Source organism: Homo sapiens, chromosome 6, assembly GCF_000001405.40.
Source record: "Homo sapiens chromosome 6, GRCh38.p14 Primary Assembly".
Taxonomy (NCBI): Eukaryota; Metazoa; Chordata; class Mammalia; order Primates; family Hominidae; genus Homo; species Homo sapiens.
Genome location: NC_000006.12, coordinates 13,707,885 through 13,734,694, shown reverse-complemented (window position 1 = coordinate 13,734,694; position 26,810 = coordinate 13,707,885). Strand labels below are relative to the sequence as shown.

At 45.1% G+C, this 26,810-nt stretch overlaps 1 protein-coding gene and 1 long non-coding RNA gene across 3 annotated transcripts in view, besides 5 other annotated features; both read left to right on the top strand.

The window, feature by feature from the left end:
- Positions 18,804–19,098: an enhancer, noted in NCBI's record as "tiled region #2979; HepG2 Activating DNase matched - State 8:EnhW, and K562 Activating DNase unmatched - State 8:EnhW". NCBI's record gives its function as "activates a minimal TATA promoter and a strong SV40 promoter by Sharpr-MPRA in HepG2 and K562 cells {active_cell/tissue: HepG2 | K562}" and the evidence as "EXISTENCE:reporter gene assay evidence [ECO:0000049][PMID:27701403]".
- Positions 21,941–22,343, top strand: LOC124901264 (uncharacterized). The gene is made up of 2 exons (XR_007059462.1): positions 21,941–22,012; positions 22,154–22,343. It is a non-coding gene; the product is annotated as an uncharacterized LOC124901264 (long non-coding RNA).
- Positions 22,356–23,125: a silencer, noted in NCBI's record as "silent region_16937". NCBI's record gives its function as "represses an Ori minimal core promoter by ATAC-STARR-seq in GM12878 lymphoblastoid cells {active_cell/tissue: GM12878}" and the evidence as "EXISTENCE:reporter gene assay evidence [ECO:0000049][PMID:35858748]".
- Positions 22,860–26,810, top strand: part of RANBP9 (RAN binding protein 9) — a 90,338-nt gene continuing 86,387 nt past the window's right edge. For both annotated transcript variants that reach the window (XM_011514205.3, NM_005493.3), the window contains exon 1: positions 22,860–23,760. In XM_011514205.3, the coding sequence (XP_011512507.1) occupies positions 23,190–23,760 (571 nt within the window). In that variant the 5' untranslated portion in view covers positions 22,860–23,189. The remainder of the gene's footprint in view (positions 23,761–26,810) is intronic.
- Positions 23,286–23,405: a silencer, noted in NCBI's record as "silent region_16936". NCBI's record gives its function as "represses an Ori minimal core promoter by ATAC-STARR-seq in GM12878 lymphoblastoid cells {active_cell/tissue: GM12878}" and the evidence as "EXISTENCE:reporter gene assay evidence [ECO:0000049][PMID:35858748]".
- Positions 23,486–23,535: a silencer, noted in NCBI's record as "silent region_16935". NCBI's record gives its function as "represses an Ori minimal core promoter by ATAC-STARR-seq in GM12878 lymphoblastoid cells {active_cell/tissue: GM12878}" and the evidence as "EXISTENCE:reporter gene assay evidence [ECO:0000049][PMID:35858748]".
- Positions 23,796–23,915: a silencer, noted in NCBI's record as "silent region_16934". NCBI's record gives its function as "represses an Ori minimal core promoter by ATAC-STARR-seq in GM12878 lymphoblastoid cells {active_cell/tissue: GM12878}" and the evidence as "EXISTENCE:reporter gene assay evidence [ECO:0000049][PMID:35858748]".

Sequence of the window (26,810 nt, the reverse complement as noted above, 5' to 3'; positions counted from 1 at the left end):
ACTATCTCTAGAACTTTTTCACCATCCCAGACACAAACTCTGTACCCTATAAACAATGCCTCCTCATTCTCCAATCCCTTGGGACCCTTTATTTGATTCTGTGTCCCTATAAATTTTCCTAGTCTAGGTTCCTCATATAAGTGGAATTATACAGTATTTGTCCTTTTGTGCCTCTGATGGATTTCGAAGGACATGTTTTCTCAATCTGCCTTCCTGTAGAATCTATGCTCTGAATTTTGAACAGTCTGAGGAGCTGGCTGTTACCCTCTCCTTGGCCTGAACAGGAATTAGGTCTGAGGTGGTGGCCTTCTATGACGTGCAAGCTCTGTAGGCTTCTGACTGTGTAATTAACAAAAGCAATCATCACTTTCATTCCCTGCGCACCTACTGCAGGCCAGCACTGTACCGCACACTGCTCTGTGAACTTGGAAGAATGGCCCCCGTTTTACAGATACAAACACTGAAAATCAGAGAGGCAAAATGACCTTTTTGCTTTTACTAGTTAGGGACAGAAGTGGGTTCTAGTTAGGTCTGACTCCAAAGCCCCTGCTGTTTCACTACCTAGTAGTCTGGCAAAGGAAAATGCAATCATTTCCAGTATTTTTTTTAAAACAACATTCTGATTAGTACAGGTGGAACTTAAACTAAGCACCCGGAAAATTGAAAATGCAGATACATAGCCAAAATAACTGAGGTATTTGCTAAACAAAGGAATCATCACAGAACCTCTCTTGAGCACAAAAGCTTCTCATTTGTTACTTAGTTTCTCAGATAGGGGCATTTTCAACCGCTTGTGTGTTTGAGAGTAGATTTACACTGCGCACTCTTGTCCAGCCTCGTTTTAACAGTCTCATCCGCATCACAAGAGTACGTTGATTCAGGATGGTAGTTAAGCAAACAAAGGACTTCAGCAAACAGTTCTTTATGAGCTAGCCCTATCCTAAAAAAAAAAAAAAAAAAAAAAAAGCCCTATCCTAAAGCAGTCATTCCCCTCAGTGCTCCACAAGGAACAAGAATGCTCAGAGGCAACCTCTGAGTGATCCCTGACATATGGAACAAAAGTCAAAATGCTAGTTTGATTTCTTAAGATACTCCCTGGGCAACTAAACGAGCGTGCATATGTGTGTGTGTGTGTGTGTGTGTGTGTGTGTACATGTGTATCCAGTTACTTATGGAACTAGACTCAACTATTCTACTTGATGGGAAAATCCTCTGAACATGGCTATAACTATCACATCTAAAAATTCCCTTCCTCTCTCCTGCAAGGTGTCTTTTGTCTCTTGTTTTTGCCAAAAAGAAAGAGCGCGGTCTATGTTTTGCATCACCCTCTTCACGTGCTCAAGTTCAGGATCATCTTCGCCGGCTCACATGTTGTTTTGGCAGCACACATGCATTCTTTCCTGCGGCCGCCCCTTAAAGGAGCCACGTTCAGCCGAGAGGAACTGCGGCTGTCCTCCCAGCAGCTGCCAAATGGATGTACTGTGTGTTGTGATCGTGTGATGTTATGCTCTAGGTCTGTTTTGACTAGCTGGATATTAGATTGGGGTGATTAGAGAAGGCTTGATACCATCACCTGAATACAATGTGCAAGCCAAAGCCACTGTCTTCTTATTCATTGTGAACACCAACAAGACAAAAAAAAAACCAAAATGATAATATCCCCAATGACTTCAGAAAGAGATACTGGTCAAAAGGTCAAGGTTTTCCAGATCTGAGGCTTTTTAGTGATTTGGGTCAAGCTATTTAACGTTTGTTTTTGAGACGGAGTTTCGATCTGTCACCCAGGCTGGAGTGCAGTGGTGCGATCTCAGCTCACCGCAACCTCTACCTCCCAGGTTCAAGTGATTCTCCTGCCTCAGCCTCCCGAGTAGCTGGGATTACAGGCATGTGCCACCACACCTGGCTAATTTTTGTATTTTTAGTAGAGGCGGGGTTTTTCCATGTTGGTCAGGTTGGTCTCAAACTCCTGACCTCAGGTGATCCACCCACCTCAGCCTCCCAAAGTGCTGGGATTATAGGCGTGAGCCACCGCGCCTGGCCGATATTTAACATTTCTGTGACAATGATTAGTATCCAACCCCTACATGGTTACTAGGGATTTTGTAATTAGACAAACTTCTAAGCTGTTACTTAAATAAGTCTGAAATTCAAATCACATGTAGCTCCATACACTGGATACCTTTGAAGGATTTGTGAGAAACAATCCCCTTAAACACCCTGGCTAGGATGCAATAAGGCTACTCAGCACACTAGGAAATTGGTCGTACTATTTTCTTATTGCAGCAAAGGTTGCTGCCTTTTTAAAGTTTGATGCCGTATCAGAACATAATCTTAACCTGTGATCCCTGTTTCAATGCTTTGTGGGAATAATTGTGCATTCACATTCAGCAAGATCCTCAAAATTACAGGGCTAGTATGATGTACAGGGTTCAGAAAAACAGGGATAGAAATAAAGCCATCCCTCCAGTTTTATGTGCATGTAATTGATTATCCATTTGGGGTCATTGAAATACGTCGCACATGTATTCTGGGGTCCATGTGTTCTGGAGAAATCGTGGTTGCCGTAAATGTTAAATTATAATTCAGTATGTATTTATTGAACATCTCAATGCTGTGCCTGCTCTCAAGTGAAGAGAGTGAGCTAAGCAAAGAAACAGATGAAATAGCTAGTGGCCACCCTTCTGAAAGGGTTTCCATCTTCCCCTCTTCCCGTCAATATCATATCACTCCACAGCAAGGCTGTTCTTCATCACTCAACAAGCACATGAAACACACAATGAAGTGTATTTATAAGGAATTTATTGTCTAGCTTAGGAGGAAAAAAATGTATATATGAAAAAGCTAGAGGCTGGGTGTGGTGGCCCATAACTGTAATCGCAGCACTTTGGGAGGCCGAGGCAGGCAGATCTTTTGAGGTCAGGCATTCGAGACCAGCCTGGCCAATATAGTGAAACTCTACTAAAAATACAAAATTAGCCAGGTGTGGTGGTGGGCACCTGAAATCCCAGCTACTCAGGAGGCTGAGGCAGGAGAATCATTTGAACCCGGGAGGTGGAGGCTGCAGTGAGCCAAGATTGCGCCACTGTACTCCAGCCTGGGTGACAAGAATAAGACTGTGTCTCAAAAAAAAAGAAAAGAGAAAGCTAGAGACCAGTGCAAGTTCATGTAGAATCAAGTGCTAGAATGTGAGTGGCAAAGACTGAAAATGGGTTGGAATTTCAAAGGAGGGGAAAATAGCTGGGCTCAAGTTAGTGAGAGATTTCTATGGAAGGAACCTTGAGAGGGGCCCTTGAATGGAGTAAGGAATTGAACTAATGCAAAGGAGAAAGAGTGGGCATCTCAGACTGGAAAAGAGCAGAGCCGGAGCAGAGCATGGAGGTGAAATGAAAACACTGTGCATGACTATTTCCATTTGTCCCTCCTTTATATTTTTCCCTGCTGCCTCACACAGGAGAGTTCCTTCAACTCCAGCTAATAAGCTGCAAGTTTATAGAATAGCCACTCGTACTTTACACCATCTGTTCAGGGAATGTTTTGTACCCTCTCTCTCATATTTTGGGGGAGGGCAGGGGAACTGTATTTAATGAGGAAAATGGAAACATTAAAGAGAAATGTGCTCCTTCCTTTCTTATCCCTTTCTTCCTGAATGATTGAGTCCTGAAGTATGAGATGGGGCAGAGTGAGGTGGGCATTCACAGGGAGGGGAGAGACAGGGCTGCGGTGCGTCAGAGCCACACCAGGTAAAGGGGCCTCCATGCAAGGGGGAGGTCAGCCCGGGAGTCACAGCCTACAGGGTGAGGCGCATCCACTCACGGGGGTGCTTGATGTGTGTATCTGAGCATCCTTACCTGGGGGCAGCCTGACATGGGGCATCAGAGCCTGAGCGGAGAAAGAAAAGCATCCATAAGGGAGAAGAGACAACTGTGGAGTTTGGAGATTGATGCAATAAGAAATATATTAAGGTTTCTGTTCGTGACCAGCCTGACCAATATGGTGAAACCCGTCTCTACTAAAAATACAAAAGTTAGCAGGGTGTGGTGGCAGGTGCCTGCAGTCCCAGCTACTTGAGAGGCTGAGAAAGGAGAATTGCTTGAACCCAGGAGGCAGAGGTTGCAGTGAACCAAGATCGCATCACTGCACTCTAGTCCGGGTGACAGAGTAAGACTCCATCTCAAAAAAAAAAAAAAAAATATATATATATATACACGTATATATATATACACACATGTATATATATGCATATGTATACATAAATGTATACATGTATACATGTATACGTATATGTATACATATGTATACATAAAGGTTTCTCACTGTCAGGGGAGTTAAAAATATGGAAAGGAAGAAAACTAAGATGAATATTGTGGTTTTGGATTAGAATTGGGTGTATTAGTATGAATCAGAGTTTTCAAGATAGATGAATAGATAGACTTATAAACATAAATGAACATCCATATATATGTATTGTGGTGGGCATACTCTCAGAAGGCCCCCACTTATTCACTTTGGGAGGCCTGAGTCTCCTCTTGCATCTACCATGTGTTAAAGATGCTCCTGAGATGCCCTGGAATGATCTGCACCCCCTGTATTCACCCCCAGTATTCATGGTTTCCCCTTGAGTGTGGGCAGAGCCTATGACTCACTTCTAACCAAGAGAATATAGCAAATAGAATGGAATGTCATTTCTGTGAGTATGTTACATAAGATTATAATGTCCATCTTGCTTGGAGACTCTCTTTTGCTTTTTTTTTTTTTCTTTTGAGATGGAGTCTCGCTCTGTTGCCCGGGCTGGAGTGCAGTGGTGCAATCTCAACTAACTGCAACCTCCGCCTCACGAGTTCAAGTGATTCTCCTGCCTCAGCCTCCTGAGTAGCTGGGATTACAGGCGTGCACCACCAAGCCTGTCTAATTTTCGTATTTTTAGTAGAGATGGGGTTTCACCATGTTGGCCAGGCTGGTCTTGAAGTCCTGACCTCAGATGATCTGCTCGCCTCAGCCTCCCAAAGTGCTGGGACTACAAGTATGTGTCACTGTGCCTGGCCTCTGCTTTTTCTTGAGACAAAGTCTTGCTCTGTAGCCCAGGCTGGAGTGCAATGGCGCCATCATAGTTCAATGCAATCTCTGCCTTCTGGGCTCAAGTGATCCTCCTGCCTTAGCCTCCCAATTAGCTGGGACTACAGGCATGTGCCACCATGCCCAGCTAATTTTTTTTGTATTTTTTATAGAGACAGGATTTCGCCATGTTGCCCAGGCTGGTCTCAAAGTCCTGGGCTCAAGTCATCCTCGCCTCGGCCTCCCAAAGTGCTGGGATTACAGGCATGAGCCAGCTCATCTGGTCTTCTTGCTGACTTTGATGAAGCAAGTTGCTAGGTGATGAATCGCCCTAGGGAGAGGCCCACATGGCAAGGAACTGAGGGTAGCCTTCAGCCAATAGCCAGTAAAAGCCTGAGGCCCTCAGTTCAGCACACCCAGAAAGACCTGAATCTTGCTACCACATGAGCTTGAAAGCGTGTCTTTCCTCAGATGAACCCTGAGATAAAACCATAGCCTCAGTTGACATTTTGTGAGAATTTAAAGCAGAGGATTCCACTAAGCCATGCCAGGACTCCTGAGCCACAAAACTGTGAGGTAATGAATGTGTGTTGTTTTAAGATGCTAAATTTGTGGTAATTTGTTATACAGCAATCAATGCCTAACATACGTATGTATGTATATTACTTAGCTCTCGCTGAAAAGGCCTAGAGGAACAACACTCCGATATCAATAAGCACACTGAGCACCTAGATTTTGGCCTCAAACACCATTTGCAATTAAAAGGAATTATGGCTCCTTGGAGAAATGGCTGATTCCAGGGCTGTAGCATGGAAAGTGCGAGATGAGTCTGGAACATCTTGTTGTGCCTGAAAGTCAGGAAGTGCTCAGAAAGTGTTGGGGACAAGTCAAAAGGCATAGAAGACAGGTAGAGGGGCTCCAACTAGCCTACTGAGGGACAATCTGAATATCAAAATAAATAATAATGATGAATTCTAACCCTATTGAATAAAATTGGAAATCACATCCATAGAGCTATAAATAAATAAATGAAAGTTTGATGAAGAATGGGATATTTGGATTATTTCACAGCATCTCTCCACAAAATATTTATTAATTGCAAAGAGGAAAAGAATAACTTTATAGTGGAGAAGACTGACAGCACCTTTATTAAATGATAAAAGTTAGCATCATCAGAAATGCAACACATTACTATTGTGTGGCACCTGATACACTGAGAAGAACACAGAGGCATTTCTATGATATGCCTCCCAAGATTCATAACCTGAATCTACACTTGAGGAAATAGAGAAGCCCAAATTAAGGGACGCTAAAAAATAACTGGCCTGTAATCTTCAAAAGTGTCAGGGTCAGGAAAGTCAAGGAGTTACTGAGGAAGTGTTTCATGGCTAGAGACATATGACAAGTAACTGCAATGCATGGTTTGAACTGGATCATTAGCTGTAAACAATGTTATTGGGGCAACTGGTAAAATTTGAATGGGATGTGAAGATTAGATAGTACTAACGCATCAGTGTTTCTTTCCTGATTCTGATGGTTATATTTCGGTTATGTAGAATATCTTGTTTGTAGAAATTCCACACAGGTGATGTCAGCAATTTGCTCTCAAATGGCTCAGTAGAAATAGTTCTTTGAATTGTATCTCTGATTTCCCTGTAATTTTGTGATTGTTTCAAAAATTAAAAAAATTTTTTTAAAAGGAAGAAATGCTGGTCTCCCTTAGAACTTGTTGGAAATGCAGCTTCTTGAGCCCCACCCCAGATCAATTCTTCAGGTGATTCTGATGCACTGAGAACCACTGTACTAGCCCGTTTATTCAAATTTTAACATCAAAAAACCATTTCTTAGCTGAGTGTGACTCCCACTACTGGACACAAATAAGATTGGTCTTTTAAAATTTCTACTCCTATTTCCATTGATAATTCATTATAAAGCTGAAAAGGTTGATACTAAGAAAGTAGAATAATACATTTTAGAACTGTTTTGAAAAAAGAGGGAAGGAACTGCTATTTATTGAGAGCATGCCATATGCCAAGCTTCATGCTAGTTTCTTTCTTGTAGGAAAGAAAATCCATGGATTTTCAGGATAGCCTCCAGAAATTTAAATCAGAATCCTCCAGCCCAATTCACTGAATATTCTAGCTTCTTAGAAACCATTCACCATTCCTTCAACAAACATCTATTGATGGCCTACTATGTGCCAGGAGTAAGAAAAGCACTGAAAGTTACATGGCAGTAAATTCATGTACACAGTATTTGGTGCTTATGACAAAAACCTTCATAGCACATGTAACCTTTTTTAAAATAAGAGCTTTATTGAGATATAATTCACATACCACATAATTTATCCATTTAATATGTACAATTCAGCAGTTTTTAGTATATTCACAAAGTTGTGCAACCATCACCATCATACCTTTTAGAACATTTCACCACCCCCAAAATAAATTTTCTACCCACTAGCAGTCACTCCTCACTCTCTCTTCCCCCCAACTCCTGACAACCACTAATCTACTTTCTGTGTCTATGGATTTGCCTATCCTGAACATTGCATATAAAAGGAAACATAAAATATGTGGTCTTTTGTGATTGGCACCCTTCAATTAGCATAATATTATGAAGGTTCATCTGTGTTGTAACATTCATCAGAACCAGAACTCCATTCCTTTATACTGCTGAATAATGTTCCACTCTATGAATAGACAACATTTTATTTTTAAATGTTTAATTGAATTTAATTAAAAAATTCTTGAGACAGGGTCTCGCTCTGTCACCCAAGCTGGAGAGCAGTGGCATGATCACAGCCCACTGCAGCCTCGACCTCACGGGCTCCAGAGATCCTTCCACCTCAGCCTTCCGAGTAGCTGGGTGTACAGGTGCGCACCATTACGCCTGGCTAACTTTTCTATTTTTTTCTAGAGATAGGGTTTCTTCATGTTGCCCAGGCTGGTCTCAAACTCCTGGACACAAGCGATCCGGCCTCCCAAAGTGCTGAGATTACAGATGTGAGCCACTGTGCCCGGCCAACATTTTATTTATCCATTCATCCATTGATGGATATTTGGATTATTTCTACTTTTTTACTATTATGAATAATGCTGCTATGAACATTTGTGTGCAAGTTTTTATGTGAACATATGTTTTCCTTTCTTTTGGGTATATACCCAGGAGTAGAATTGCTGGGTCATATGGGAAATCTAAGTTTAAGCTTGGAGGAACTGCCATACTGTTTTCACACCTGCAGTGTCTGAGCGTATCAGGGCTCTGATTTCTGCACATCCTTGTCAACACTTGGTATAGTATATGTAATCTTTGCATCATAATTAAACTGTGAACACTTAATTCTTTTTTTTTTTTTTTTTTTTTTGAGACGGAGTCTCTCTCTATCTCCCAGGCTGGAGTGCAGTGGCGTGATCTCGGCTCACTGCAAGCTCCGCCTCCTGGGTTCACGCCATTCTCCTGCCTCAGCCTCCCGAGTAGCTGGGATTACAGGTGCCCGCCATCACGCCCGGCTAATTTTTTGTATTTTTGGTAGAGATGGGGTTTCACCGTGTTAGCCAGGATGGTCTTGATCTCCTGACCTCGTGATCTGCCCGCCTCGGCCTCCCAAAGAGCTGGGATTACAGGTGTGAGCCAACGTGCCCAGCCCCTACACTTAATTCTTAGAATGAAGACCACTGGATGGGTTATAAAGACTTGAAATCAAGCATTATGAAAGTAGCTTGCTTGTGTCATCAAGAAGTATTTAAGGAGTGCCTCCTAGATATAGGGCACTACAATAGGAAATAGGCTCTTTGAAGGTGTTTTTTTGTGGTTGTGTTAAGTAAATGGGGCACCTATGACTCAGATTTCCCTGGCAAGCCAGGAAGTATCTCAAAATCTCCAGGTCTGGTTCTACAGGCAGGGCAGCATGACTGAAAAATCTGGTATTTCAGATCACCCACGGTAGGCAGGGACAAGTAATGATAGCTTTTGGCAAACCTAAGACAGATCCAGGACACCTGTAATTGGCCTGAGTTTCCGGCTTTGAGTTCAGACCTAGCCTTTAGGCCACTAACTGGTGAACCATTGGCCAGATCTGACCCACAGAGGTGTTTTGTTTGACCTGTGAAGTGTTTGGAACGTTTTGATTTGAAATTCCTTTATGCTCTCCACTCTGTTATTGTTTTATACCCGACCTGGTTCACTCTTTTACATTATCTACCTGGCTCATGGAGGTATTTGAGTTTGCAAGTCCTGCTCAGGATGATGCCTTAGTCATATGTTTAAGGCCTGGGCAATTATCAAATAGAATATCATTGCCATAATAAAAAAGCAGAGTTACATCCCTATATCAACAAGAAGCAGTTGTTAAACCCATAATTGTGCAACATGCAACATAGAGAACAGTAAATAGTTGTGACCTATACCTATGAGGACCTTATAAACTAAGGTAAACCATGCTGACACAGACAGACTTTCACATGGTCAACAGAGAGTAGAAAAAGGCATATGGACCATGAAAATAAACATGATGAAGGTCAGTAATGAGCATGGTGGCAACAGCCAAACTTACGGGCTTGTGTTCCTACGTACACACGTATTCTAAAAATCGTCTCTTTATGAAAGACCCTCTTCCCAGATTAAACCTATTAAAATGTGAACTTATTTGATGGACATATTTGCAAGACTTGTGACATTCCAACATTGCTCAGTAATGCCAACATTCAGAGAGTTCTCTTAAGGCAGATGTAGTCATTGAAATGATCAGGTGTGTGATTAGAAATGTGACTGGAAGGCCAGGTGCAGTGGCTCTCACCTGTAATCCCAGCACTGTGGGAGGCCGAGGCAGGTGGATCACCTAAGGTCAGAAGTTTGAGACCAGCCTAGCCAACATGGTAGACCCCGTTTCTACTAAAAATACAAAAATTAGCCTGGTGGGGTGGCAGGAGCCTGTAATCCCTGCTACTCAGGAGGCTGAGGCATTAAAATCATCTGTATCTGGGAGGCGAAGGTTGCAGTGAGCTGAGATGGCACCACTGCACTCCAGCCTGGGTGACAGAGTGAGACTCCATCTCAAAAAAAAAAAAAAAAAAGCATCCTTGGATGCTCTTGGTGCCCTGAGCATGTCCTGTCACCTGCTGATGCACCCATCTCAGGCCACAGGGAATGTTGCCAGTGACTCATAGCCACACCCTCACCTCCTTGCCCAGAGATCCCTCGGATGTTATACCACCCCAGGGAGGAATGTGGTCTGCAGCTAATGAGTGGTTAATACAGGCTTTAAAAGCCCTGGACTCTTGCCTTAAGGTGGGATGACTGCATGGTGCACACACACTCCAGAGCTTCCTGTGGGGTTAGGCTGGAGCCAGACCTCACCGAGCTTACATCTTCGCCTGGCTTCCTCCCCGTGCTAGTTTACTTCCCTTATTCCCCTACACATTTCACTTGAGAGCACTCTGTCAAAAGATCACAGGTACCAGAAACCCCATCTCAGCCTCCGTTTCTAGGAAACCTGATCTGGGACACCTAACCTACCCTACAAAATTGTCCTTATGGGGTCAAATTTTTAAATAGTTATTAAAGCATAATACACATGACATTAGGCATGTAATGGTTAGAAAGTAACAGCCCTGAGCTGCAGCAGTCATGGTGACCCTCTAATAGTCCCTTAAAGGCAGTTTTATGGCATTAATGCCTCTGCCCAGTGGAAGAGCCATTTCAGTTCATACTTCAATCATAAAATTACTTTTCCATCAAACCAGAATGCTTATATAACCCCTTCCTTTACTGAAATGTGGCCAGAACCGAGAGAGAGAGAGAGAGCTATAAAATTATGAAGACAAGCAGTGAGCCTAGATTGCCTTATTGACGTACATAATTTATATAACCAAGCTCTGTATCTTACAGAAAAGTACTTTCAAATAGAAAGTGCTTTGATTTTGATGAGAGAACTGTGATTGTTATATCACTCTGGCTTCTACAATGCACAGTATACCTAATTGTCTTAACAACTTTGTGCAACATTTTTCCTGAAACCTAAAAAGTTTGCAGTGTGTGTATGTGTGGATTGGTTTCCAAGGGCTGCTGTAACAAATGGCCACAAATTTGGTGGCTTACCACAACAGAAGTTTATTCTCTCACAGCACTGGAGGCCAGAAGTCTGCAATCAAGATGTCATAGGGCTACACTCCCTCCAGCTCCACAGGAGAGGGTCCATTCTTTGCCTTTTCCAGGTTCTGGTGGCTGGTGGCATTCCTTGACTTGTGGCAGCATCTCTCTAGGCTCCATTTTCACACGGTCTTCCCTTCTCTGCGTGTCTTTTCTGTCTCAAATCTCCCTCTGCCTCTCTCTTATAAGGATACTTGTCATTGGATTTAGGGCCTGCAAGGATAATCCAGGATGATCTTGTTCAAGATCCTTAACTTAATGACATTTGCAAGGACCCTTTTACCAAATAAAGTCAGAGTCACAGGTTCTAGGGATTTGAGGTGGACAGCTTTCTAGGGTGCCATTTTTGGTTCTACCACAGTGTTTATAAACGTGGGTGTGCACAACCACAGGAAGATAAGGAGGGGTGTATATATTTGAAGAACCTGATCAGAGCTTGTACATTTAGCTTGTACAGTCTAACTTGTACATTTAGACTCACATTGAACATCCACAATCTTAACTCCTTTCTTTTTTTTCTTGAGACGGAGTCTCACTCTGTCGCCCAGGGTTGAGTGCAGTGGAGCGATCTGGGCTCACTGCAACCTCTGCTTCCCGGGTTCAAGCAGTTCTCCTGCCTTGGCCTACGAAGTAACTGGGATTACAGGCACTCGGCACCACGCCCAGCTAATTTTTTGTATTTTTAGTAGAGATGGGTTTTCACCATGTTGGCCAGGCTGGTTACACACTCCTGACCTGAAGTGATCTGCCCACCTCGGCCTCCCTGAGTGCTGGGATTACAGGTGTGAGCCACCGCACCCTGGCCAGTCTTGACTCTTTAGAAGCAATGCAGAAGGCCGTTTTGCCATAATTTTACCAAGCGCTAATAGCATCCCATGTGTGTTAAGGTTAGTGCACTGCATGGAAACACGTAGCCTAGTCAACCACTCAACAGCCACATGTCAGTGTGGCTTTGTTGTTCTTCAATCATGTAGACTATTCAAATTATACTTACTGAATTTTATGGGATGATATAATATTGTTTCATGAGATTTACAGTTTAAGGATTCAGAAAGATCTGGGCCTCTTAAGAATGTCAAAGATCTATTATCTATGAGAAGTTTTCATATAGACAATGGCATAAGGCACATGTGGGGGACTGTTGGTGATATTAAGAGCCAGACCGGTAATTCCACAGACAATGCTACCTCTCTTTAAATAACTGATGCCTGTTTCAAAGTTAAATATTTGCAAAATAAACTAATTGCAGCTGAAGCAGAAAAATACTAAAAAAAAGTATTTTGAAGCCATTTTATTATTTATGCTGCCTTTATTTTTTATTTTTTTATTTTTTTGAGACGGAGTCTCACTCTGTCACCCAGGCTGGAGTGCAATGGCGGGATCTCGGCTCACTGAAACCTCTGCCTCCAGGTTTCAAACGATTCTCCTGCCTCAGCCTCCCGAGTAGCTGGGATTACAGGTGCCCACCACCACACTCAGCTATTTTTTGTATTTTTAGTAGAGATGAGGTTTCACCATGTTGGCCAGGCTGGTCTCGAACTCCTGACCTCGTGATCCGCCTGCCTTGGCTTCCCAAAGAGCTGGGATTACAGGTGTGAGCCACTGCGCCCGGCCTATGCTGCTTTTTAAGATACAGATGCTCTGACATCTTTGAAATATTGCAGTTTTGGGAAGTCTCACGTATTGCTGAGCATATTTTTCCCAGCATATCTTTGAAGGCACTTAAGGAAAACAAATAAAAATGTTTTTTAAAAATTCATTACTAAGCATAAGATAGTATATGGCTATGGTGAAAGAAATAGTGACTTATGAAATAAATTGCTTTACTAAACAACTTTCTTTTTATGTTTACTTAGATTGCAAATTAGGCCTGGTACTTTCTTTGAGGACCATGATGATAAGAAAATATTTGTATCAATTATCTCCATGCTGTAGCCTAGATATAAAGAAACTTAGATTGAAGAATTCATTTTACTTGTAAGAATGGGTTACATTCTTACAATAGGCTGGACAATTACTTTTCCTAGGATATTAGAAAAAAACCTGGCCAGGTGTGGTGGCTCATGCCAGCACTTTGTGAGGGCAAGGCGGGCAGATCACCTGAAGTCAGGAATTATAGACCAGCCTGGCCAACATGTTGAAACCCCATCTCTACTAAAAATACAAAAATTGGACAGGTGTGTGGTGGGCGCCTGTAGTCCCAGCTACTCAGGAGGCTGAGGCAGGAGAATTGCTTGAACCCAGGAGGTGGAGGTTGTAGTGAGCCGAGATTGTGCCATTGCACTCCAGCCTGGGCGACAAGAGTGAGACTCTGTCTCAAAAAAAGAAGAAAAACCTATGGCACTTTTTGTCTCTCTTAGAACACTATTCATATTCTACCTTGAAAAACTGGTTGTGTAAGTCAATTTCCTACAAAACTATAAACCAGTTGAGGGTAAAGATGTTAGTGTCCCTTAAAAATGTTTTCCCCTATGCTTCCTAGCGCTGTGTACACACAATAGGCACATAATAGGCACTCAGTAGATAATGAATGGAATGCAGCCTGCATCTTGGGGAACTAGGAGCCTAACCCACAGTGGGTTGGTGAGTTATTCTCCTCAATGATATCTGGCACCTTGGGGAGCTATTTATCATTTTCTTAAAGAATGATCATTTTCTTCTTTTTTATTTTTTCTATGCTTTCTATTTTTGTCTTTCATCTTCCTTTCTTCCTGTTTCTTCCCTCCAAACTATGCCTTTGGCTGCCTGCATGATATTCCAGCCACTGCACCCATAGGCACTTCCTAGACCTGCAGGGGGCATTCCCTGGAGTTCAGAGACATTCTGGGGTAGGCTTCCCATCCCATGATTCCATCAAGAACTTGATCACTGTAGCACCAAGGGAGGAAATGAATTCCTGCTATCTGTTCCCTATAGTTACTCTATTTTTACTTTTTTTTTTTTTAGACAGAGTTTTGCTCTGTAGCCCAGGCTGGAATGCAGTGGCACAATCTCGGCTCACTGCAACCCCTGCCTCCGAGGTTCAAGCAATTCTCCTGCTTCAGCCTCCTGAGTAGCTGGGTTTACAGGTGCATGCCACCACGCCCGGCTAATTTTTAGTAGAGACGGGGTTTCACCATGTTGGTCAGGCTGGTCTTGAACTCCTGACCTCGTGATCCGCCCACCTCAGCCTCCCAAAGTGCTGGGATTACAGGCATGAGCCACCGCACCCGGCCTCTATTTTTACTATTTATTTATTTATTTATTTATAGTAGAGATGAGGTCTCCCTATGTTGCCCAGGCTGGTCTCAAACTCCTGGCCTCAAACAATCCTCCCACCTCAGCCTCCCAAAGTACCAGGATTACAGGTGTGAGCCACCATGCCCTGCCATTACTGCATTTTGAATGCACTTTTAATGTCAACCATCAAGAAACAAGAAAGAGGGTCAGGCGGGTGGCTCATGCCTGTAATCTCAGCACTTTGAGAGGCTGAGGCGGGAGGATCACTTGAGGCCAGGAGTTTGACAGCAGCCTGGGCAACATAGGGAGACCATGTCTCTTCAAAAAAATCACAAAAAAAGTCAGCCAGGTGTGGTGGTGCATGCCTGTAGTCGCAGCTACTTGGGAGGCTGAGGTGAGAGGATCACTTGAGCCCAGGAGGCCAAGGCTGCAGTGAGCCATGATTGTGGCTCTACATTCCAGCCTGGGTGACAAAGTGAGACCCTGTCTCAAGGAAACAAGAAAGAGGAGACATAGAGATCAGTATGGATGGAAGGATGTGAGTTCTGGCAACTGAGGAAGGGCTACAGTGGACTAGAACAAGCAGAAGGAAAAATTAGGAGGAAAATCAGAAGGAGATTGAGAGCCTATTAATTTGTCAAAAAGTCATTAGCTTAGGTTATTTCAGCCCAAATTGTAATTTTTGTACAAATTCTTCTAGAACAGATGATAAAAGTTTCCTCTAAATTTAACTTTTGGTTTTTCACATAGATTTTACTTCATGAACACTGAATTGTAACCACTTTTATTCACACATGAATATGAAATAGTATATTTATGTTATTCCATGTGGCCCTGCAGACCCTTTTCACCCTGAACCCCAAACCCCAGGGATGCAGTCTCTTGGTTTGTGGTAAAACAGCCAGCACCCCCCTCGTGTTCTCTTCAAGACAGCACACAAATTCTGAGGCAGAGTCCGCCCTCACTAGACTTTTGTGTATCTGCCCATGGACTCTGGAACACTTGTTTCTAAAGAGCATCAACTGAGGCTGGCTGTGGTGGTTCCTGCCCGTCATCCCAGCACTTTGGGAGGCCAAGGCAGGAGGCTCCCTTGAGTCCAGGAGTTCGAGACCAGCCTGGGCAACATTGCAAGACCCCTGTCTCTACAATTAAAAAAAAAAATCAGCTGAGCACTGTAGCATGTGCCTGTAGTCCTAGCTACTTCAGCGGCTGACGTGGGAGGATCCCTTGAACCCAGGCTTTGGAGACTGCAGTGAGCTATAATCGGGCCACTCCAGCCTGCGGGACAGAGCAAGACTTGTTCTCCCAGTCCTTGCTATTCAGGGGCTAATCCATGGATCAGGAGTGGCAGCAGCCCCTGGAAGCTTGTTAGAAATGTAGACTGTCAGGTCCCATTTGGCAAATCTCCACATTCAAGTCTGAAAATCACTGCTCTCTAATTCATGTGTGCAGTCAGCCCTTCCGTGTCTGAAGGTTTGCAACCTTGGATTCAACCGAAGACCAAAGATGTAGTTAGACCTATGATTGTTCTGTCTGTCCCGAACAGACTTTTTGTCCTTGCCATGATTCCCTAAACAATACAGTATCACAACTACACAGGATCACATTATGTTTAATATTGAAGTAATTTAGAAGTGATTTCAGTATACAGGAGACGATGTAAGTTACAGGCAAATTCATTTTATTATCCAAATTTTTATATAACATCATGTTATATAAGAGACTTGGGCCTCTGTGGATTTTGTTTTCCACAGTTCTTGAAACCAATGCCCTATGGATGGATACGGAGGCGACAACTGTTAATCATCTCACCACTCTGCATTAGTCCAGTCTCACATTGCTAATAAAGACATTTCTGAGACTGGGTAATTCATAAACAAAAGAGGTTTGACTCACAGTTCAGCATGGCTGAGGCGGCCTCAGGAAACTTACAACCACGGTGGAAACGGACACAAGCACATCCTTCCTCACAAGACAGCAGCAAAGAAAAGTGCAGAAAAAAACAGGCAGATAAAGACCGTTGTAAAACCACCAGATCTGGTGAGACCTCACTATCATGAGAACAGCATGAAGGTAGGTAACCCCATGACTCAATTACCTCCCACTAGGTCTCTCCCACGACACATGGGGATCATCACAACTGTAATTCAAGATGAGATTTGGGTGGGGACACCACCAAACTGTCCAAAACTGGTGGGTTCTTGTTCCCACTGACTTCAAGAAAAACCACAGACCCTCCTGGTGACTGTTAAGTTTTTAAAGGTGGTGTGTGTCTGGAGTTTCTTGCTTCTGATGGTCAGACATATGCAGTCTCTCCTTTACTGGTGGGTTTGTGGTCTCACTGGCTTCAGGAGTGAAGCTGCAGACTTTCGTGACAAGCGTTATAGCTTTTAGAGGTGGCGCATTGAATTATTCCTTCTTCTCCTCCAGAATAGTTTATTTTTTGCAGTCAGTTACTGACCACCCCAGCCTCAAGAATGAAAGTGCAGACCTTTACAGTCAGTGTTACAGTTCATAAACGCAGTACAAGCCCAAAGAGTAAGCAGCAACTAGATTTATGACAAACAGCAAAATAACAAACACTCCATAAAGCGTAAGGGTACCCCAGCGTGGTACTACAACTGGCTCGGGCAGCCTGCTTTTATTCCCTTATCTGGCCCCACCCACATCCTGCTGATTGGTCCGTTTTACAGAGAGCTGATTGGTCCCTTTTGACAGGGTGCTAATTGGTGCGTTTACAATCCCTGAGCCAGACACAAAAGTTCTCCAAGTCCCCACTAGATTAGCTAGACACAGAGCACTGATTGGTGCATTTACAAACCTTGAGCTAGACACAGGGTGCTCATTGGTGTGTTTACAAACCTTTAGCTAGACACGGAGTGCTGACTGGTGTATTTACAATCCTTTAGCCAGACGTAAAGGTTCTCCAAGTCCCCACCAGATTAACTAGACACAGCACTGATTGGTGCATTTACAAACCTTGAGCTAGACACGGTGCTGATTGGTGTGTATACAATCCTCCAGCTAGACATAAAAGTTCTTCAAATCCCAGCTAGACTCAGAGACTCCGCTGGCTTCACCTGGTGGATCCCGCACCCACGCCAAAGGCGAAGCTGCCCGTCAGTCCCGCATCGGGCACCCGTACTCCTCAGCCCTTGAGCAGTCGGGACGGGGTGCCACGGAGCAAGGGGCGGCGCTTGTCGGAGAGGCTTCGGGCAGTGCAGGAGCCCATGGCGGTGGGGAGGCTCGGGCATGGCGGGCTGGCAGGTCCAGAGCCCTGCCCCGCGGAGAGGCAGCTGAGGCCCGGTGAGAATCCCAGCGCAGCGCCGGCAGGCCGGCACTGCTGGGGGACCCGGCGCACCCTCTGCAGCTGCTGGCACGTGTGCTAAGCCCGTCACTGCCTGAGGCCGGCGGTGCCAGGCGGCCGCTCCGAGTGCGGGGCCTGCTGAGCCCCTGCCCACCCGGAACTTGCCCTGGCCCGCGAGCGCCGCGCACAGCCCCGGTTTCCGCCCGCAGCTCTTCCTTCACGCCTCCCCACAAGCAGAGGGAGCCGGCTCCAGTCTCGGCCAGTCCAGAGAGGGGCTCCTACAGTGCAGCGGCGGGCTGAAGGGCTCCTCAAGCGCGGCCAGTGTGGGTGCCGAGGCCGAGGAGGCACCCAGAGTGAGCGAGGGCTCCCAACATGCTGTCATCTCTCAAAACCGTATCACTTTCCAACTAGACTGTTCACCGAAGAAGTAGATTCCATACTGCTGTTTTTCTTTGTAATCTGTCTTGCCTCTTTTCTTCATTCCCTGCCTAGAGAAGACAGGACCCAGGGTTCCAACATAACAGGTGCTTCATAAATGCTGACTGAGAACTTTCCCAAACTTGGACCCTTTATTGCTATAGTTTACTAACATTGTTCAGCCATTTGTCATCCATTTGAATTTGCCACACTACGTGCAGAAATATGCTTACTCCATTCGTGTGGCATCAGGCTGCCTCGGACACTGGAGTGCAGCACGCATTGTGGGTAATAAAATGAATTTGTTGACTCCTAGGATTTCATTGCTAGTGACTTGGCTTTCATTTTTAGTGTTGAGAATGGTTTATAAGGAACGTTGATGTAATAGTCTGGAACAGGAATCACAAACTGAAGCCTGTAGGGCAAATCCAGGCTGCTCCCTATGTTTGTAAATAAAGTTTTGCGGGATCACAGCCATGCCCGTTTGTTTATGTATCATCTATGGTTACTTTCATTTACAATGGCAAAATTGAGTAGTTGCGACAGGTAACTATGTTCCGCAGAGCCTAAAATATTCACTATCTAACCTGTTACAGAAAAAGTTTGCTGATCCCTGGTCTAGAATCCATATTTGATGTGAATGTGGCAAGTGCAGTTCCCCAGGGTCACTGGAAGTTACAAGGACCCTGTATGAGTCAGTTTCCAAAGACGGCCTTCAATGATCCTCACCTTCTTGTGTTCATAGCCTTGTGTAATCCCCTCCCCTTGAATATGGGATGAAACTGATGACTCACTTCTAACAAACATATGGCAAAAGTGATGGGATGTCACTTCCGTGGTTGGGTTACAAAACACTGTAACTTTTGTCTTGCCACGATTGCCTTGGCTTGCATGCTTTCATGAAGCAAGCTGCCATGTTGAAGGTGCCCATGTGGCAAGGCATCATGGGCCACTTCTGGCCAATAGCCAACAAGAAACTGAATCCCTTAGTCCAGCAGCCCTCAAGGAACTGCATCAATGAGTGTGATAACCACATCAGTGAGTGTGAAAGTGGATTCTTCCCCAGTCAAGTCTTGAGATGACTGCAACCCCAACTGACACCTTTAATGCTCATGAGAGACCCTGAAGCAGAGGATCCAGTGAAGTTGTGCCAGATTCCTGACCCACAGAAAATGTGTGATAATAAACGTTATTTTAAGCCACTAAATTTGAGGATTATTTATTCTGCAGCCATAGATAACTAATCCAGACCCTAAAACCATACTATAGATCTTGGCACACATTGCCATAACATTTTCCAGTACTCAGAAGGATACTGTCATGGGCATTGACTGAAACAGGCTGGTCAGCATCTTACCTCTTTCCTAGTATCTTTCCTAGTATGGAAAATCCTCTACTGTGGGCACCAGTGGCCCTTTTCCACTAGGGCAATGTGTCCTAAACATTTTCATGTTATGCCATGCACAGAAAATAAGATGTGTATGGTACTCTGAATGCACAAGACTGCTCACTGTTGGAAGGGACCAGTTCTGGTGGCTGTAACCACTCAAGGCCCACCCTGAGCTGAAGTTATCAATAACGTAGCATCTCTGTAACCCAGTCACTGGATAACCTGGGAATCTCTGCTTGCTGGTGTATTCTGGCATGGGCACACAATCTAGGCTTGGTGACTTTGAAACTTGAGTGAGTGGTGTAAAGGCTGGAGGTCAGAGAGATAAGAGTCCAGGTGTTGAAGGTGACATCTGGCAGTGATTTCTGTGATCAGTGCTGGGGTCCAGGCCAGTCTATTTATGCAGCCTCTCCTCCTTTGGCCATTGTCAGTTTTCAGGCCTGCTTGTCCAGCCTTCTGGTCAATTCTGAGAACCATCTAATATCTTTCCAGTAAGTTCCTTTTTTGCTTAAGAGAGCCAGAATTGGTTCCTATTGTTCGATACTGAGAAACCCAGCAGATACAGATACTGGGTAATATTAGAGCAATACATGGTAAAGACTGAAAACATAGGTTCAAGAAGGGTGTGGATATGTTCATGGCTAATGGATTTTTACTATTTACATATCTATGTACAATTCTATTATTTTCATAATAAAAGTACATTACTTTTAATAATGCATTATAATTGTCCATTATGGAAACATTTTACAATTTTTCCTTCATGTCTTTTTGGTAATGATTTTGGCAGTGCTATAATTATCGTATTGCCTCTTTTCATTTAGCATATCATAATCATTTTTCTATGTCTTCAATAACATATTTTTAAGAGGCCATAAAATATTTGTTTCAGGCTGTGCCTGTGCAAGAAGCCTGGAGAGAGTGGGTCTGAAGGTGGGCCCAGGATCCACTAAGTCAAGAGGAAGGGGTGCCTTTTTCTAATTGGTTGACCTCTTTTGGCACTTCCACTGCCCAGAAGGGATACCTTAAAAAAAAATGGCACGAATGTGCTATATGTGCTCCTGTAGCATAACTCCACTGAGTGGGGTATGTGATTAGAATTTCACATGTGACTAGAATTTCTTCTAGTCTCTTCCGGTTGGGCATTTGATTTGCTTCTATATTTAATCTACCATTAATACTTCTTGTGGAACATTTTTCAGCCTAAAGTATTTTCATATTTAGATTGTGTTGTTTGGCTTTTTGATAGATAAGTCAAAAGGTATGAACTCCTTTATGTCTCCTTATAAATATAACCAAGTATGTAGCTTTCCAAAAGGACGTTATCAATGTTCTCTATCTCCTTCTATATGAGAAAGTACTCATTTCACAGCATCCTCCCCCACAACTGAAATCATTAATTTCTTGATGGAGAACCACCAGTCCCCCTTATAAAATGCTTCCAACAAAATGTTAGACAATTCTATTCCTTCAGCTGTTCCTAAGATACGGAAAGTTCTAGATAGTTCCTAAGTGTGCTGACAGAAAAAAAGTACATCTTCAAAAGTGTTTCAAGAAAGTTTAATGACGTCTGGAGCCCATTTATTCTAACATGGCTATCGTACATTTAAATAGAGCTTGGCTTACATTGAACTCATTGTTACTGTAATATAAATGAAAGTGTTAGAACACTGTAAATACAGTGACATCATGTGATTCAAAGTGCAGTGGTTTAAAAAAAGTCATCAAACAACAGGTTAAAATTAATGGATATTTCTATCAAACTACAACAGAGGCCAGGCATGGTGGCTCACGCCTGTAATCCCAGCACTTTGGGAGGCTGAGGCGGGTAGATCACTTGAGGTCGGGAGTTCGAGACCAGCCTGGCCAACATGGTGAAACCCCGTCTCCACTACAAGTACAAAAATTAGCTGGGTGTGAGCACATGCCTGTAGTCCCAGCTACTTGGGAGGCTGAGGCAGGAGAATCGCTTGAACCCGGGAGGCGGAAGTTGTAGTGAGCTGAGACCACACAACTGCACTCCAGCCTGGGCGACAAAACAATAATAATAATAATAATAAAAGTACAACAGAACATCTAGTTGTCTGGGTAACTGAGGGAGAAATTAGGCCGAATGACTCTGTTATTTGTTCTGGCCAGATAATCTTGGCCTTAAATTAAATCACCTTTGGCCTACCTTCTTCAAAACGAAATAATTTTCTCTTCGGCAAAACATTTCTTATTTGACCAAATGATTACCATCATATCTTTGGAAGCAAACAAAATATCAGAATTTACATCACACAATTTACATATGCAAAGCCTGATTTTGCCAGCTAGGGAGGGATAAGCTAAACAAAGGGAAGTGGTGAAAACAAAGTAGTAATGTTATGATGGGTCAGAGAGCAACACTTGGCAAGTTGTGCCAAATTAGTCGACGAAGCATTCTATTGGGAATTGCAAAGTAGGAAGTCCTATTTTTGACTCTGCTGATCTCGGTAAATATTTCCTTGTTTTAAAAATGGGCATAATTTTCTGTTACCTAAGAACCCTGTTATGAAAATTAACGAGTCTATAAAATGTTCTGACGTCTCTAGAAGCCCTTCCTAAACACACACTATAATCTTGTATTCATACAGTGCCTGCTCCTGCTTTTTGAAGATATGCCGGTCTTTATTAATGACATCTTCTACCACTGTTAAGTTCACTGTGAGTCCTCGTAAAATTAATTAATGAAACAGTCACTATTCTAAGTGGGAGACTGCCTTCAGAAGTGGTTTCTACTGCCCATATGGTCAATGCTACGGAATTAAACACTGAAGTACCAAAGGCAATGCGTTCCTCTTTGGAGGGAGGCGGCAAACGGGAACGGGACTGAGGCGAGAGCTAGCAGCACTGCGCGGGGAGCCTGAGCCGCTCCGCACGCCCCGGGCCGACGGGTCCTAGAGCGCCCCGGGGCCTGGGCTCGCGGCGGCCCCAGCGGGGCTCGATTACTCTCGCCTGGACGAGAAGCGGCGCCTCGGCTCCGAGGAGCCCTACGGTGGGGAGGTGGGGCGACGACAACAAAAAGAAGTCAAGTGGGAGGGGATTCGCCGGCGAGGGGGGCGACGGCGGCCGCCAAGGGAGAGGAGGCGGACACCTCCGAAGGGACCTGCGGCGCCGGGAGCCCAGCGATCCTGCCCACGAGCGACTGGCGGGCCCGGGAGGACGCCTCGCGGCGCACAGCCGGGAGCCCCGCGGCCCGCCCCCTCGCACCGCTCGCGCCTCTCTCGCGCCTCCGTCCCGCCCCCTCGCCTAGCGCCGCCCGCGCGCAGCGTCTCGCGCCGGCCCGGCCCGCCCGCCGGGAAACAGCCGCGAGAGCAGCGGCCGCGGCGGCCGCCAGCGCGCCTTCCCCTCCCGCGCTCCCGCGTCGCCCCCGCCCTCGGCGCCTCGTCCCCGGGCCGCGCGCCCGCGCTCCGGCCAACGTTCTCTCCCGGCCTCCCGGGCCCGCCGCCTACTCCCGCGTCTCCGAGCTCCTCAACCGCCGCGGTCTCCCTGGGCGCGCGGCCCGCCGCCTGCTTCCGGGGCGGGCGGACTGGGCGCCTGGTGCCGGCGGCCGCAGCGACAGCGCCCCCGGGAAGCAGAGGAGGAAGGAGAGAAGAGGTGGAGGTGGCCGCAGGCTGAGTCGCGGCCGGGATGTCCGGGCAGCCGCCGCCGCCGCCGCCGCAGCAGCAGCAACAGCAGCAGCAGCTGTCGCCGCCACCGCCGGCGGCCTTGGCCCCAGTCTCCGGAGTCGTCCTGCCGGCGCCCCCGGCCGTCAGCGCCGGCTCTTCTCCGGCCGGCTCGCCCGGCGGCGGTGCGGGCGGCGAAGGCTTAGGGGCCGCGGCGGCCGCCCTGCTCCTCCACCCTCCGCCGCCGCCGCCCCCGGCCACCGCGGCCCCGCCGCCCCCGCCGCCGCCCCCGCCTCCCCCTGCCTCAGCGGCTGCCCCCGCCAGCGGGCCGCCCGCTCCCCCGGGCCTTGCAGCGGGCCCCGGCCCGGCTGGAGGAGCCCCGACCCCAGCTCTGGTGGCGGGCAGCAGCGCCGCGGCCCCCTTCCCTCACGGGGACTCGGCCCTGAACGAGCAGGAGAAGGAGTTGCAGCGGCGGCTGAAGCGTCTCTACCCGGCCGTGGACGAACAAGAGACGCCGCTGCCTCGGTCCTGGAGCCCGAAGGACAAGTTCAGCTACATCGGCCTCTCTCAGAACAACCTGCGGGTGCACTACAAAGGTACTGGGCGTGTGTCCTGCGGTGGGAGTGGGGCACTGACCCGACGTGGCCGGCCGCCGCTGCGCCGCTCTCGACCCGCCCCCGACCCCCGCCCTCGCGGGCTCTGCCCTCGGAGGCCACTCGCCGCCTGTTGTGCTGCTCCGGGTGGGCGCGGGGGTCGCGGTGAAGGGTCCGAGGGTGAGGGGCGAGATTCTTGGAAAAGGAAGGTGAGTAGAATGCCCCAGGGTAGAAAGGAGCTGGTAATCCTAGACCAGGAGCAGGACACCTTGAGGGAATCCGGGATGACAGGACAGAACTGGCTTTCTGATTTCCCTGGGAGATAAATCTTGGGGCTTGGGTAGAGGAATCCATGGACTCGGAGTTGGGTTACATTGTTCTCCAGGTGGTGGGTCAGGCGTTCTCCTCTTACAAGGGGGGAAGAGAGGCACGATTCTGAGGTATGATTTCTAATTAAGAGAGAGCAGGGATACACAGGGGGAGGAGTAATCAAAATTAGGCCAGAGATTGTCTAGGGGGACAAAAGGACAAGGGGCCCAAGTTTGCCATCAATATATTTTAGTAAAAGCAACCGGGAGGGTAAGAGAAGGGAACCCCAGGAACACCCTTTTTCTTAGGGGAGCAGAAACCTACCCCTCCCGATTGGAAGTGCCCTATACAGGTCCTTAGGTGTTGATATCACATGAAGTCTTGTTGAAAACGAAGATGGAACAAAATGCAGCTTAGTATTTTGAAGAAAATTGGCTTATGTTTTGCACTTGCAGTTAAAAACAACAACCTTAGGCTTGTGCTTGCCCCTTTCCTCCCTCACCTACCTCTCCTAGGTTAAAACAAAGCTGGAAGCAAATCAGTTGTATATAAAATTATGAATTGCTATGGGAACTATTGAAATGTAGCCCAATTTAATAGCATGTATCAAGTTTACTTGTGTGGAAGAAAAAAAAATCAACCTAACGTATCAGTCTTGTCTGGAAACAAATCCAGGGTTTTAGGCCCCAAACCTAAAGCAGAAGCTTTTACATTCACGGCAGCCTCACTTTGATTGGCTGTAAAGGGGTCTACTCAGATCCTAGTGACATGTATGTAGAGGAGATAAACAACCTTGTGGTTAAATTCTTAACTTATACGGGACTGAAATTTGAGAAGAAGCTTGATAAGTAAGTTACTATTTAATCAGAAAGGCGAATGGCAATAGAAATCTACCAAATGATTTGGCTGCAAAGAATCACGCACAAAAATAGGCCTTGTTGAACATTCTTTTTATTCTCGCCATACATCCAAAGAAGTACTTCCAAGTGTTATCCTCCTTAATCTAAACGTCTGAACGTTTCATTCACAATATCAAATCTTTGTTTTTTCTCAAGTTAGGACCTTTTGTTAATTTCCTTGTGAAGTATTTCTACTTTTATGTTTTAATTTGTGTGAACGGTGCTATGTTATGAGGTGTTTACTTCTGATCTGGCTGCCAGAAAGCTATTGTTAGATGTGACAGAATTTTATAATTTTAAATTTATGGTTGACAGTAAATAATTTGCTCATAAAGTCAGAGCCAGTGTAGATGAACAAAGAATTCTAGATTTCCTGAGTTCTGCAGTTGTTTGTGGTTGTAGATATTTTACAAGACTGAGCCTCAGTTTCTTCCTCTGAGTGGTGTGTAAGTTGAGCTGGACGATTGGTAAGGAAATTTCCAGCTCTGAATTTCCGTGATGTCTAAGATTCGTGATTACTGTTTATTTAGTACTGTAAGGTGTCTTGATTAGTTTTAGTCTTTTACATAAAATTGATGATTAGGTCAGAGAAAAATACACGTTTATATGAAATTAGTTGGAGTTTGGAATATTTCTGACACTGCTGTCTCAGTTGTTTTTATTCTTGGCCTCTTTATTACTTTCTGTTGTGTAATACTAAGGTTCACTTTCTGGGAACATAACTGTTTTATAAACATAAATCATTATTTCTGGAAGAACAGATTTTGTTGTTATCCTTTTATTTTTCCTCTCTTCTATCTTTCCTTTGTCTCTCTCTTACCCCTTGTCAGAAAGTCTTTTTCCCTTTCTACTGCCTCTTCCTCTTGTCTTGTTACTGTAGACTGTGTGTGTGTGTGTGTGTGTGTGTGTGAGTTTTCCGTTGTTACTGTTGATTTTCTGCGTGTTTTGTGAGAGGACCACGCCGATTGTGGTGGGCAACTGTGTCCCAGTAGCAGTAGCAGTAGCAAAGGAGAAGTATCATAGAGAGTAGATAATACTTTAAAATCACAGAATAAGAAGAGTGAATTTTTATTTAACCTATCATTGTGCTGCATTGGTTTTACCTAAGTATCATGAGACACTTTTAACAGTAAAAACTACTATTCATATATTCACGTATTACAGAATTTCAAAAGAATGATTTTAATTATTTTCCAGAGTGACGAGAATTTTCCTTATCTTTGAAATAGAAGTATTTTGCTTTCTTTTGCTCCAAAGGTATTCTGGTTTTTTGTTGTTGTTCTGGTGTTTTTGTGTATGTGTGTGTGATAGGATTTCAACTTTGTTGCCTTGATGGAGTGCAGTGGTGCGATCATGGCTCACTGCAGTCTAGACCTCCTAGGCTCAAGGGATCCCCCTGCCTCCATCTCCCAAGTAGCTGGGACCACAGGCTCCTGTCACTATGCTGGGCTAAGTTGTAATTTTTTTTTTTGTGGAGATGGGGTCTTACTGTGTTGCCTAGGCTAGTGTTGAATGTTTGGGCTCCAGTGATCCTCCCACCTTGGCATCCCAAAGTACTGGAATTACAAGCCTGAGCCACTGTGTCCAGCCTGTATTCTGTTTTTAAGATGTTCTTCTAAATTGAAATTACTGCTTTTGGAAGCAGTATTGTTCCTGAAATGATTTGAAGAGATTAATGTTAGATAATACTAGACATGCAGATAAGGTTGATTGGATTGCAGAGGAACAACAGGGTATGTATAGTATATGTGAAATTTTTTTAAAGGCCTTTTGCTTAGCAGTCACACAACAACTATTGAAAAACCCAGGGATAGCCCCTCTTATTTTTGAAATTGTTGTCAGTAT